Source organism: Homo sapiens, chromosome 3 (assembly GCF_000001405.40).
Source record: "Homo sapiens chromosome 3, GRCh38.p14 Primary Assembly".
NCBI classification, from domain to species: Eukaryota; Metazoa; Chordata; class Mammalia; order Primates; family Hominidae; genus Homo; species Homo sapiens.
The window spans coordinates 187,828,884-187,842,475 of record NC_000003.12 but is presented as its reverse complement, the minus strand read 5'-3'; the positions used below and the strand labels follow the sequence as shown (position 1 = coordinate 187,842,475).

The 13,592-nt window shown below is 44.1% G+C and overlaps 1 long non-coding RNA gene across 1 annotated transcript in view; it reads left to right on the top strand.

Annotated features, from left to right (window-relative positions):
* Positions 1 to 11,682, top strand: part of LOC105374264 (uncharacterized) — a 59,909-nt gene extending 48,227 nt beyond the window's left edge. Inside the window, exon 3 of the long non-coding RNA XR_924813.3 lies at positions 6,297 to 11,682. This is a non-coding gene — a long non-coding RNA (uncharacterized LOC105374264). The remainder of the gene's footprint in view (positions 1 to 6,296) is intronic.
* Positions 11,683 to 13,592: the final 1,910 nt, after the last annotated feature.

The following is a 13,592-nucleotide window of genomic DNA, read 5'->3' as shown; positions in this document are numbered from 1 at the left end:
CGAGGGTATGTGTAGTGTGGGGCAGAGTGATGACGGGAGGTTCGTTGATGGGTACATGTATGTTTCTCCCAACACATAGAAATGGTAAATACTCAAGATGATAGACCCTTAAATACCTTGACTTGGTCATCACACACTCTATGCACATAACAAAACATCACATGTACCCTATAAATATGTACAAATATCACATATAAATAAACAAAAATTTTTAAGACAACCTTAAAAAAAAAGGCAGCCTGAAGTAACCTCATGTTAATTAATCAGTTATTTTTCTCCTGTTCTGTCTAAAAGGAACTAATAGTCTTTGTACTTTGCTCCTGCTTTCTTCAGCCCTTCTCTGTCTATAAAGCAAACCTCTTCTGCTCCGTTCACTGGGACACTTACTTCATTGTACGGAATGGAGTGTTGCCGGATTCTAGAATTGCAAATGAAGCCAACTGAGATCTTTAAACTAAATTTGTTGTAATTTTGTCTTTTGATAAAAGAGATGTAATCATCTAGAGTTCACTAAACCCAAGGATGTTTAAAATGAATGGAGAGTTGGCCACATGCCCGAGGTTCACCTATTCACCCAGGCATTACCATGCAGGCCATTTATTTCATAATTTCTCATGAGAAACTGTGGCAATAGCCAGAGATAACAGAGGTGGCAGATGAGTCAAGGAGGGAGGGTGACTCAGAGGCAGCCATCTCTGCCCCCTTCACTGGCATCCTTGAGCATGCCAGCGTCCATAGAGACTTAGACTTCTGTTTGGATATTGCTTTAAAGAGATTAAAGGATCTGCATTCCTGGAAGCCTCCTTCCCTTTTTCTGCCCTAGGCCCTTCAGACCATGCCTCAGTTCATTCCTTTGTAATGATATGAATTCACATTCCTTGGGAATTTTTTCTATGCCAGGAATTAACTCTGTCTTTTACGCGCATTATCTTTTTTTGTTTTGTTTTGTTTTGTTTTGTTTTGTTTTGTTTTGTTTTGTTTGAGACAGAGTCTCGCTCTGTCGCCTAGCCTGGAGTGCAGTGGCTCCATCTCGGCTCACTGCAAGCTCCACCTCCCGGGTTCAAGCCATTCTCTTGCCTCAGCCTCCCAAGTATCTGGGACTAGAGGTGCCTGCCACCACGCCCGGCTAATTTTTTGTATTTTTAGTAGAGATGGGGTTTCACCGTGTTAGCCAGGATGGTCTCAATCTCCTGACCTCAAGATCCGCCCGACTTGGCCTCCCAAAGTGCTGGGATTACATACACTCATTATCTTATTTACTTCTTACCAACTGCCACACAGATAGGATGATTATTCCCACTTTACAGATGAGGAACCTGTGGCAGAAAGAAAGTAGCCCATGGTGAGCGTAGTAGTGCCTGATAGAGCTGGAATTTGAAGATAGGTTGTCTGACTCTAGAGCCCATGCCTCCGGCTACTCTGGAAGTCTGCCTTCTGTAAACAGGTAAACTTGGAATGTCTGCATCACAAGACAAACCCCATAATCTCAAATAGCAAGTGAAAGCTGAGGATCCTTAGACTTGGCTTGTAATAGAGCAAGAAACCTAGAGGAGAGGAAATTAGTTAAGGAATATTTTTAGGCAGTCTTCTTCCTATGCAGGCAGCCACAGAAGGCCTGGCTGGTGGAATATATCTCACTAGTTCTTGCTGGTCGTTGGAGGAGGTCAGTGGTCCTTAGGAAGGAAGAGAAAACAACATTTCTGGAAGAGAAGGAGCCGAGCTGTTTAACAGCTCTCTTCCAGACTCCACTTCTCTGTATTCTTTGTGCAATGCTTTTTTTTTTTTTTCCCTGGGGGCGGGGTGGGGGGAGTTGTGATGAAATTTATTACCCTCAAACACAGCTTCGATCATGTCTCCTACTGCTCAAGAACCTCCAAATAACAGTTTCCCAGGACCTAAATCAGCAATCTTCAAACTTCTCTAAATATGTAACCCTAGTGCTGAAGAAGACTGGCATGTGCACCTCGATAGATTTATGGTACATGTGTGTGCCTGTGTGTAGAGCCATGCCAATAGATTATGCACTTTATAATAACAAATTAAAACTGGGAAGTATAACAGAAGATATGAACATGAAATGAAGACTATTTTCAAATGCATGCTATTCTTAATGACATCTTACTATCTTTTCTACTGTCTCAGGGCATAATCCACACCTTAGACAGGGCTCACCATTAATAATAGTGAATGTAAATCCATACTTGAAGCACTCTTCCTGAAAATTTGAATTTTTTTTGTTTACTGTTTGATATATATGATCAGGTCATCATTAGTTTTATCCTCCCCAAAATGTGGCTAAAGGAAAGCTAGGATAGGAGAAAAGTCAGCTCTGCCATTTTCTTGTCGTTTGCTTGTGTTCGTTATAAGTGCTATTCTCAATCCACAAGTTCTTTACAGAAATCTTTTAAAAATCACTGGTCTATTATGTGACTTTTTATTCAGTTAAATCTGTATAAAAATCCATAAACCCATGAAACTAGATAATTAAGAATGGTGTTGTGGGTACCTTGCAGACCCTCTAGGGCATAAAATTTCGACCCCTCCCTCAGAATAGCCTTAGTTGGACATGTGGCAAGAAACTGTGTGAACAGGGATCTAACAAGGATCCCATATTCAATCTGTATATGAAATAATAGTACTTTTAAACTTTTCCCTTTTAAAAAATAAAAGTAAACCTGAATGAAAATTCATTATGATTTGCACACCCTTCTGAGAGCGCACACTGCACTTTGGAAATCTTTGATCTACCGAGATAGGATTTCTTAGGCTTCCAATATCAGTGACCTACTTCTTTAGCCACACCTCCAATCATCACCGTACCTGCCCCATTCCGTGATGACCCACACACTCAACTGTACAAACACATAGGGCTAGTCATCTTCTCTGGAAACTTTCTTACCACAAGACCTGGCTCAGGCTGTTCCCTCTGCTTGGAACACCCTTGCTTTCCTTTGCTGCCTTTAGAAATTTTACTAAAAACAATGCCATCTAACATTTATTGACTTCTTACTACGTGCTGGACACTGTTGACAATTCTAGAAGGTAGGTGCTATTCTGAGAAAGCTGAGGAGTAGAAAACAGTTCAAAGCCAGTCAGCTGGGAAATGAGAAATCCAGAAAACAAGCCCATGAGAGCTGCTAATGCTCATACTGTATCACTGTAGGTGTGTTTTAATTTAATTTTAATATCAGAATAGATAAAGTCTTCACTAAACCCTTCCCCTCTTTCTACTACTAGGGAGATGGGATTAGTTGCTTCCCTTTTAAGTTTTCACATCAGCTTATTGATAAATATCATATAGCATTTATTTCACTCTGCCATATACTGCTATTATTTGTGTACATGTCTCATATCTACAACTATACTGTGAGCTCTTTAGATGAGAAACCACACTGGATCCTTCATGGCATATAGCAGAGACTTAGTAAAGTAAATATGGTCATTGAATGAATTAATTAATGGATAGATGGAAGAATAAATGAATGGATGGGGAAAAACAAAAGTCATAGGTTGGGTATAATGTAACTTGAAATTTCCTGGTGGCCCGAGAAGCACACTACAATCTAGTATGCGCCTGCAATAGATTACAAAGATTTCAAACCTCAATAGGAGACAAGATTTCATTTCTCAATACTTATGAGAGCACTTGTGAGTTACCTTACTCTTTAATATGTAATGGCTAGTTGATAAAATCTCAAACTTGTATCTATGTAATCTAACATCACAAAACACTGAGTGCATTAAAGAGCTGTTTCTCTATTTTGAATTTACACTGGAAACCTTGAATGACTCGAGAAGGATTTTTGGATACGCCATTTTAATGTTGGTGATAATGAAAGTCATTTACAGAAGAAATTTTAGCTGATTTTATATTGAAATTAACAAACACATGCACTAGAGTTTAGGAATTTCTCTTCCTTAATTTTACTGACTCAGAAACTGAGACTTACAGATGTGAAGTGATTTGGCCAATAATCATGTCATCCGGAAGTCACAGAGCTCATACCCAGCCCCAACCTTTGAGACTTAATTCCCATGCTATTTCCCCATTCTGCTCCTCAAACACAAAATGAGTTCTAGAATGTCAGACATTTGAGCTATTAGAAACTCTTTACTATGGGCATAGAGTGAATAGCCCCGTTTTGGTATTTTGGAAATGCCATTCTGTATAAATCTGCAGCCTGGAGCATTCTTCGTAGCAGGGGAGGGACTAGCAGGCATTTAATCCCTAGATGACTAAACAGAAGCCCAGTCCATCTGTGATAAATATTCCTTCCAAGGGCCACAGGTGTGCACGACAGAGCAAGCATCCTCCTTTTCCGCCTCAGTGCTGAAACCATCATAAAATCATTCCATCCTCTGCTTGGTCAGTTAATTCTTCCTTCCTTTTTTTTAAAAAAAAATTCTTATTAACATTTGACTGTGTTCTTATCCAGAGGTACAATAAAAAGCACTCTGATGATAAGCTGCACAGTAAAACAGGCTGTCTGGCAGGTACCTACTAGAGTCAGGGATGTGAGGGTATACAGATAGGGTCTTATTCTTAGTTCTCTAGAGCTGGAAGAGAGAAAGGCAAAACCCAAAGCCTCCTTGCCCCTTTTCTCACCTTCCCTAGACGTGGCATCTGCACCTGGCCAGATGACAACCATAGACTCCCTTGAAAGAATGGTTATTAAAGCTACCTTCAAGTCCCATCCTATAACAATGGTGGAAGTGAGAGTGGAACCTAGAGGACAGAACTAGAGAAGAAGGGTGCACACTAAAAGCAATATGTTTCCCATTCATTATTGAGCAGAGCTTCCTGACAGATACACAACAGAGAAAGGGGCTGCTTTCTGGAATAGTGAGCCTGCTGTCATTGGAAGCACTTCATCTGGACGATCCCTCCTTGAGAGTAGTATATAGGGCAGATATTAAGAGAGTAGATGGTTTGGCTTCATCACTGCTAAAACACCCCTTCCAGCAATAGCATTTTGTATTTCTCCAAATATTCCACATTTGAATGCCTAGGGAGATGGGTTTAGCAAAGCTCATCTGTTCCGTAAAACTTGGCCACAGTACAACGCCTGCTGCCTGGTCACAAAGCATTTTATGGACAGCTGTTTCCACCCCTATTTCAGAAGTGTGGTGAAAAGGGAATTCAGAGACAGGTGAGGGGCCTTCCATTACGTGAGCTGGTGGGAAGACGCCCCCAGCTCCAGAGCTGCCTCATGCCTGAGCCCACACACTTCTCAATTGGATCTTAGCTCAGTGACTTCCAGCCATATGAAATGAACCCATTCCCCTGGGAAGCCCACTACCCCTAGGAATGCCTTAGAAATCTTTTTTCTAGATTATAAAGTCACACAATCGCAGTGTTTGAACAGTCTTAGAGGTCATGGAGTCAAACTCTCTGGAATCCACAGGAAAGCAATGTTTCCCACTGACTCCTGCTGAGAACTCATAAATGGAATGAGCCCAGTGGAATCCTAAGGAATTCTGAGCCGAGAAATAAATAGGGCAAAAGCCACAGCCAAGTCTTCTGCAAGCTTATCCCAAGGAAACATGGAGCCAGTCTTTACGGAGAGAAAGGGCTGAGTTCCAGGAGAGGGGAAAATGTATAATGCATTGAGGTTGCAAGTGTTTAGAGCAACAGGGAACAAAAATGACACAACAGTCAGGCACAGTGGCTCACGGCTGTAATCCCAGCACTCTGGGAGGCCGAGGCAGGTGGATCACTTGAGCCCAGGAGCTCAAGACTAGCCTGGGCAACATGGCGAAACCCTGTCTATACAAAAAATACAAAAATTAGCCAGGTGTGGTGGCACGCATGTAGTCCCAGCTACTTTGGAGGCTAAAGTGGGAGGATCGTTTGAGCCCAGGGAGATCATGGCTGCAGTGAGCTGAGATTGCGCCACTGCACTCCAGCCTGGGTGACAAAGCGAGACCTTGTCTTAAAAAAAAGAAAGACACAACTGGGAGTCATCTTTCTCTTGAATGGTCTGCATTTCACAGATGAGAAGTTAGCAGAATCTAGGGGAAAGTAATGAATGGGGAATCAAGAAACAGGCCACCACTGACTTGCTGTGTGACCCTTGGAAGAACTTTTAACCTCTCTGAGTCACAGTTTCCTCACGAGGATAATAGTGTGTGACCAGGTTGATTGGGGGATCAGATGAGATAACAAACATGAAGCACTTTTAAGTGGTAATATTAGACAAATGGAAAATGCCAATATGATCAACTCTGCCTTACGTGCTTTTTTTAGTGTCCCCAGGCAAAAGAAGTGAGTTGATATTATTTTTCCCTATTTTCAGATGCAGAAGTCAAGGCACAGGGATGTGAACATACGTGGGTCATGTTTCATAGTACCTGGACCAAGAGAAGAGGTCTCTCTATGTTGAGAAAATGGCAATGCCTTCCCACAGCATGGTACTTCTTCTCCTTCTGAGAATGATACTGTTACATAAAGGTTTTCGGCGGTGCCCCAGAACACGGAGATTTCCTTCTGCCCAGCTGCATGAGGCACACATATCCTGGGATGGCATTAGGAAGATGGCCACTTTCACATCAACTTATGTACTCTGGCACCAACCTCTCTTCTCCCTACCCAGCCCAACTTCCCACCCACTGCTATTGGGATGATATGTGCTCTTGGGTAAGGAATGCATATCCAAATGCTACCTCAGATCAGGGAGGTAATACCTGGCCTCAATTCTCTGCCCTTAAAGAATCTTGCAGCCAAATTGGGTAAAGAGTCAAGACCCATCGGTGTGCTTTATTCAGGAGACCCATCTCACGTGCAAAGACACACATGGGCCCAAAATAAAGGGATGGAGTAATATTTACCAAGGAAATGGAAAGCACACACACACAAAAAAAAGCAGAGGTTGCAATCCTAGCCTCTGATAAAACAGACTTTAAACCAACAAAGATCAAAAAAGACAAAGAAGGGCATTACATACTGGTAAAGGGATCAATGCAACAAGAAGAGCTAACTCTCCTAAATATATATGCACCCAATACAGGAGCACCCACATTCATAAAGCAAGTTCTTAGAGACCTACAAAGAGACTTAGACTCCCACACAATAATAGTGGGAGACTTTTAACACCTCACTGTCAATATTAGGCAGATCAACAAGACAGAAAATTAACCAGGATATTCAGGATGTGAACTAAGCTCTGGACCAAGAGGACCTAATAGACATCTGTGGAACTCTCCACCCCAAATCAATAGAATGTACATTCTTCTCAGCACCACATCGCACTTATTCTAAAATTGACCACATAATTGGAAATAAAACACTCCTCAGCAAATGCAAAAGAATGGAAATCATTACAGTCTCTCAGATCACAGTGCAATCAAGTTAGAACTCAGGATTAAGAAACTCAGTCAGAACCGGACAACGACATGGAAACTGACAACCTGCTCCTGAATGACTACTGGGTAAATAACAAAATTAAGGAAGAAATAAATAAGTTCTTTGAAACCAATGAGAACAAAGACACAATGTACTAGAGTCTCTGGGACACAGCTAAAGCAGTGTTTAGAGGGAAATTTATAGCACCAAATGCCCACAGGAGAAAGCAGGAAAGATCTAAAATCGACACCGTAATATCACAATTAAAAGAACTAGAGAAGCAAGAGCAAACAAATTCAAAAGCTAGCAGAAGGCAAGAAATGACTAAGATCAGAGCAGAACTGAAGGAGACAGAGACACATGGACACAGGAGAATGAGAACACATGGACACAGGGAGGGTAACATCACAAACTGGGGCCTGTCAGGGGTGGGGAGTGGTGGGGAGGGATAGCATTAGGAGAAAGATCTAATGTAGATGAAAGTTTGATGGGTGCAGCAAACCACCATGGCATGTGCATACCTATGTAACAAACCTGCACATTCTGCACGTGTATCCCAGAACTTAAAGTATAATATAATAAAAGAATCTCATAGCCATCATCTGTTGTATACAACAGACCTCAAATTAGTCTCCCTCTGCTTCTCCAACAGTGTGGCCTCTTCTATGAAGCTGTCTACCCATGGGTTTCCCCAACATCCCATCCCCCAGCCCTCAGGTTTCTCCTCCCCATCATCTTCACTTCAGAAAGAGAAATGAAAAAGAAATTCAAGTGACTCATCGGTCCACATAGGCAGGAGTGGGAGAGGCTGAGAGAGTGAATTTGTGGGTCCAGATGAATATTTCCGCAGGCCTCTTGACTGCTTCACACGATCTGCTGTGCTTCATGAAAAAGAGGATATAAAAATCTGAGTGGTGCCATATTGTCTCCAAAAGCAGCCAGAGTGAAAATGAAGTGTGACTGCTGCCTCCCAAAACGCAGGGCAGCTCCTCCCTCACATCCACAAATGTGGTTCAGCGGGCTGCCTTGCCCTGTTTCAGGAAGCCTACGTGGAGGGCACTGTGGAGCCCCAGCCACCTTCTTCACACAGGGCTATCTGGGGCTTCAGTGCCAGGTCCCCTGGATACACAGCAGAGTCTGCTGGGGGCACTGACCAGGATGCCAATGCAGGGGTGCTTTCTCGGAGGCTCATCCCACCAGCAGTGCCAGGTTTGACAAGCCCCACAAATCTATGCTCTTTGGCCGCCTTGAGAACTTTCCAACCAGGGATTCTTACTGAGCAGAGTGTGCATGGCGAGGAAGAGTCAGAGTGGGGGGGGCCTTGCCCCTCCCTCAACCAGAGGGACTCTACTTTAATGTACCTTACATACTGGGCACTTTCCTAAGATTTCACTGGAAAAAATCGGAGCAAACAAAAATGGAAACAACCTGGAAAGCCCCCATGGGTCTAGCCCAGTGGTTCTCGAACTTGAGTGTGCCTCAGAATCTTCTGGAGGGCTAGATATAAAACACAGATGGCTGCGCCTCTCCCCAGACTTGCTGATTCATTATTGCTGATATTTCATTTTTATGTTTTTGTTTTTTTGAGATAGGTTCTCACTCTGTTGCCTAGGCTGGAGTATAGTGACCCAATCACTGCTCACTGCAGCATTGACCTCCTGGGCTCAAGCAATCCTCACACCTGAGCCTCCCAAGAGGCTGGGACTACAGGTATGTGCCACCACACCTGGCTAATTTTTCTCTCTTTTGTAGAGACAAGGTCTTGCTATGCTGCCTATGTCTCTAACTCCTAAACTCAAGCCCACCTCAGCCTCCTAAAGTGCTGGGATTACAAGCATGAGCTACCACACCCAGCCTAATATTCTATACTTTTAATAGGCTGTCATGGGATTACAATGTTGCTTTCTTGGGACCAACATTAAGAACCACTACTCTGGCCCAGCTTCCCTTTTAGATGCCAGGACAGGTGACTCTTCCAAGGTGCCTCAGCAACTTAGAGGCAAACTGGAATAGAGCCCACTCGCTGACAGCCCCTCCCCCTATTTTCTATCCCACCCCCACTTCATCCAGGGCTTTTCTATCACACCTGCTCCAGCACAGCAGGGCCCTGGATAGAGAAAACTGCTCCAAGCTGGGCTTTGTCCCATGAGGAAAGGGGCACCCTAAAGCAGAGCCCTCGCTCAGCCCAGCCGTGTCCCCCATTTTGGGAAGTGGCACCCTACCCCCAGGTTTTCAGGATGCCCCTCAAACTTGACTTATCCATGCTTTCATTCCTTATTGAGCCTTCTGTGATTTCTTTCCTTTATTCTTTCACCGAACACATCCTTACTGAGACCTTCTAGGTGCTGGGTGCTGTTCTAGATCCTGAGAAAGATATAGAGACCTGTGGGAGACAGGCTCCTCCCTGCCTTCAAGAACTTTGCAGTTGGGTAGGAAAATAAGCCTAATCAAGTTACTACACTGTAAAGGGGAAAGAAGGGAGTGTCTCAAAAGGTGTGTGAAGGATGAGGAATGGGGAGGGGCTCATTAGTCTGGCAGGGAGCTGTTAACAGAGACAGGCATGGGCATCGGATGAAGAGGACATAGTCAGTGTAAGAAATTAATGATTAAATCATGAGAAATATTTATTGAGTATTCACTGTTCACCAATTGCTTTACATCTTTTATCTTCACAACCTTCCCTATAGGAGGCGCCATTATTAAATTCTTGTTTACAGATGAGGAAACTGAAGCTCAGAGAAGCCATGCAACTTGTCCAAAGCCACACAGCTACTCAAACTCAGGCTTTCTGGACCCAGAACCTGATCTCTTAACTACTACTCTACCATCTACGACTACTGTACCATCTCTTACTACTGTACTATCTTAATTGCTGTCAGCAAGGGACAGACAGCTAGCACCTATTTGGAGGGCAGTGAAGAGCAGGTTTCCTGAAGCATTCCACAAGTGTCAGGGGGTAGTTGGAATACAGTGAGAAAGATAGGTTGGGGCTTAATTTATGGAGAGGCTTGACTGCCAGGGTGAGTGATTTGTACCTAACTCAGGAGATTGTAGGAAGCCACTGAAGGATTTTGAATAGGAAAAGTACACGTGACACAGCTGTGTTTTAGGAAAATTCCTCTAACAGCAGTAGGCAGATTAGGTTGGAGTGGGAAGACATTGATGACCAGGACACCACACTGAAGTTTACTGCAGGATTACGGGAGTGACAAAACAAAGGCCTGACTTAGGGCAGTGTGGCAGAAATAGAGCAAGACTCAAGGACAGATGCTCTCCTCACCACTGTTATTGTAAATAATTTTGACCACTGACCACATTCTTGACCTATCTTAACTCATGTCATTCTCCCAGTAGGCTGCTACATCAGATTGCTTTCCCTTTGACATCTCTTGCCCCTTCTTCATCTCTACCAATGTCTCCCCATTGGCAGTTTTCCTGTTTGGGGATCAGGGTCTCAGACCTCTTCTTTGAATGTATAGGAATCACAGGCTAAGGAAACTCAGGATTGAGGAATCATGATCACTCTCAGAACTGTTTATTCTCTCCATTCTGAAGCTGATGAAACAGAGGCCTGGAGAGGATGAGTAACTTGTATCTAGGAAGTGATGGTGCTTGGATCAGAGGTGGGAAATCTTTCCCCCACCTGTTAACGTCGTGTTCCCATTCTCCTGCTTCCTGGGTCAGGCTGGAGGCCCTGCAGCTGTCGGGAGTGCCAGATGGCATCTCAGTCACCAGGCTGGAGGGTGCCTGAGGACCCTGCGGTCAGCCCCAGCTGGCAGCACCACCTCCCAACTGGCACTGTGGACACCAGTGTTCAGAGGGGCTGAGTGAAGGAAGCACGTGTAGCAGAGGGGCAAGAATGCAGGTGACTCATGCCCTTTGCAGTGTGACTTACAGCTGTCCATGGGGCATCCCAGCCTACGTGAGGCAGTTGCCATCTTTGCTGTCAGAGAGTCACTCTTGACCCAGGCAGTAACTGACGTCAAGAGCAGAGGAGACAGAGTTTGGTTGTAAAACGGACCAACTGTGCAGAAGAAGCAGTACCCAGCTATGAGCGAGGAAACCTCGGCTCCACTCACAGATTTGCTCTTGCCCTTTACAACTGTGTGACCTTAGGTAAGATGTCACCTGACCTGAATAAGCCTCACTCTTCTAGTCTGTTCACGGGTACAATAATCTTTGCCCTCACTATCTTGGAGATGTGAAGAGTGATCTGTAGGCTAGAGCTTGAAGGAAAAAAACAAAGCCTTCTGCAAACCTAGAGAGTTCCAAACGTGTCATTACTATTATCATGATTCATGCGAATACTAATATCATTAAACATTCATTCCAAAAGGAAATGTGATGATAAAATGTTAACATATCTCCATGAGGGGTACATTTGAACTCCGTACTGTTTTTGCAACTGTTCTGTAAGTTTGAAACTACTTCAAAATAATTTTATTTAAAGTTACATTCTCTTTAATTACCTTCTCTTCCATGCAACCAGGTTCACTAGGCAGCAGCCATACCTCAGTCAATAAGAGAGGACAATCTCTGCCCTTGTTGAGTTTATATCCTAGCAGGCAAGGGCAAATATTAATCAACACAATAAATATGAAAATTGTCTGCTGTGTTCGGAGGTGCTAAGTCCTATGGGGAAAAAAAGTAGAGCAGCATGGAGGGGTGGGGAGCAGAAGTCCCAGATTTGGAGTGGGGAACAGGTACCAACTTGCAGGCTGATATGTAAATAGCATGGTCAAGGTGGGGCCTGGGGGAGAAGGTGAGACATGAGCAGGCTTGAAGAAGAGGAGACTGTGAACTGAGCATATGTCTGTAGGAAGAGTGTGCCAGGGGAGGGCAAAGGACTAAAATAGGAGCACATCCTAGGAACAACAAGGAGGCCAGTGTGGCTGGAGCAGTGTGGTCAGCTATTGGAGTACCTGGGAGAGTAATGGGAGATAAGGTCAGAGAGGCAATACAGGGTGAGTCTTGTAGGGCCTGGTAGGCTATTTTGAGGACTTGAGTTTTTTTCTCAAGAGTAATGGGGTACCAAGGCAAGGATTTGAGTGGAAGTGTGACATTATCCAATGCACATCTTAAGAGGATTATTTTCACTACTGTGCTGAGAATATACTAAGGGGCACAGGATTGAAGCAGAGAGAAGCAAGGGTTGAAGCAGGTAGTAGGTGATCACAATATTCCAGGAAGAAATGCTGGAAGTTTGGATCAGAAGGATAGCTGCAGGTGGGGAAAAGCGATTGGATTCTGGATACGTTAAAAGTAGAGCCAGCTGGCCACAATGGCTCACGTCTGTAATCCCAGCACTTTGGGAGGCTGAGGTGAGTGGATCACCTGAGGTCAGGAGTTCAAGACCAGCCTGGCCAACGTGGTGAAACCCCATCTCTACTAAATATAAAAAAATTAGCTGGGAGTGGTGGCACGTGCCTGTAATCCCAGCTACTTGGGAGGCTGAGTCATGAGAATTGCTTTAACCCGGGAGATGGAGGTTGCAGTGAGCCGAGATTGTGCCACTGCACTCCAACCTGGGCAACAAGAGCAAGACTCTGTCTCAAGAAAAAAAATAAAAAAGTAGAGCCAACATAAGTCTTTTAAGCTTTTTGACCTAAAATCCATCTCCAAGGCCCTTTCTAGCCCTAAAATTCTTTGACTGCTCTAGAATATCATCATCATCTCCTCAAACCCCTCTGCCCAAGTGTGAAGAGAGAGGCAGACATTGTGCTACTTTTACACTTACAGATCGAAATTCTCTCAAGTGGCCTGAGGTTTCTGGGATGACGTTTGCTCGGTCTTATTTCATGCCTGAGTATAAATACAGCACACAAGAAAAGGTTGTCTTTCCCTCAATCAGAGGAACTGCCAAGCACAGATCCAACCCACAGGGACTATGGAGAGGCCGGAAATGTCAAAAAGAGAAGTATGAGCATGAAATTGTACTCCCTAATGAAACACCTGGCCCCTGAGAACAAAGTCCATCCTGTCACTGTTCTTGATTGACAGGTGTATGGTCTGTCACTTAGGCAACACCTCTTATCTGCCACTTGGTCTCCCCAGCCCAGTGATTCCCCTTCAACCTCCCCTCCACATTGTCACTAGACACACGATTCCTAAGAGCAGTGGAGTGGTCTCTGCACTGGCATTCTCAAAAGCCCTGCCCTTGCCCACGAGTACCTATGCTGTATCACACCTTTATGAAGGACCCTCTTCTTTAGAAAACCACCTCTTGCTCCCCTAGATCCCCCAGTCACTG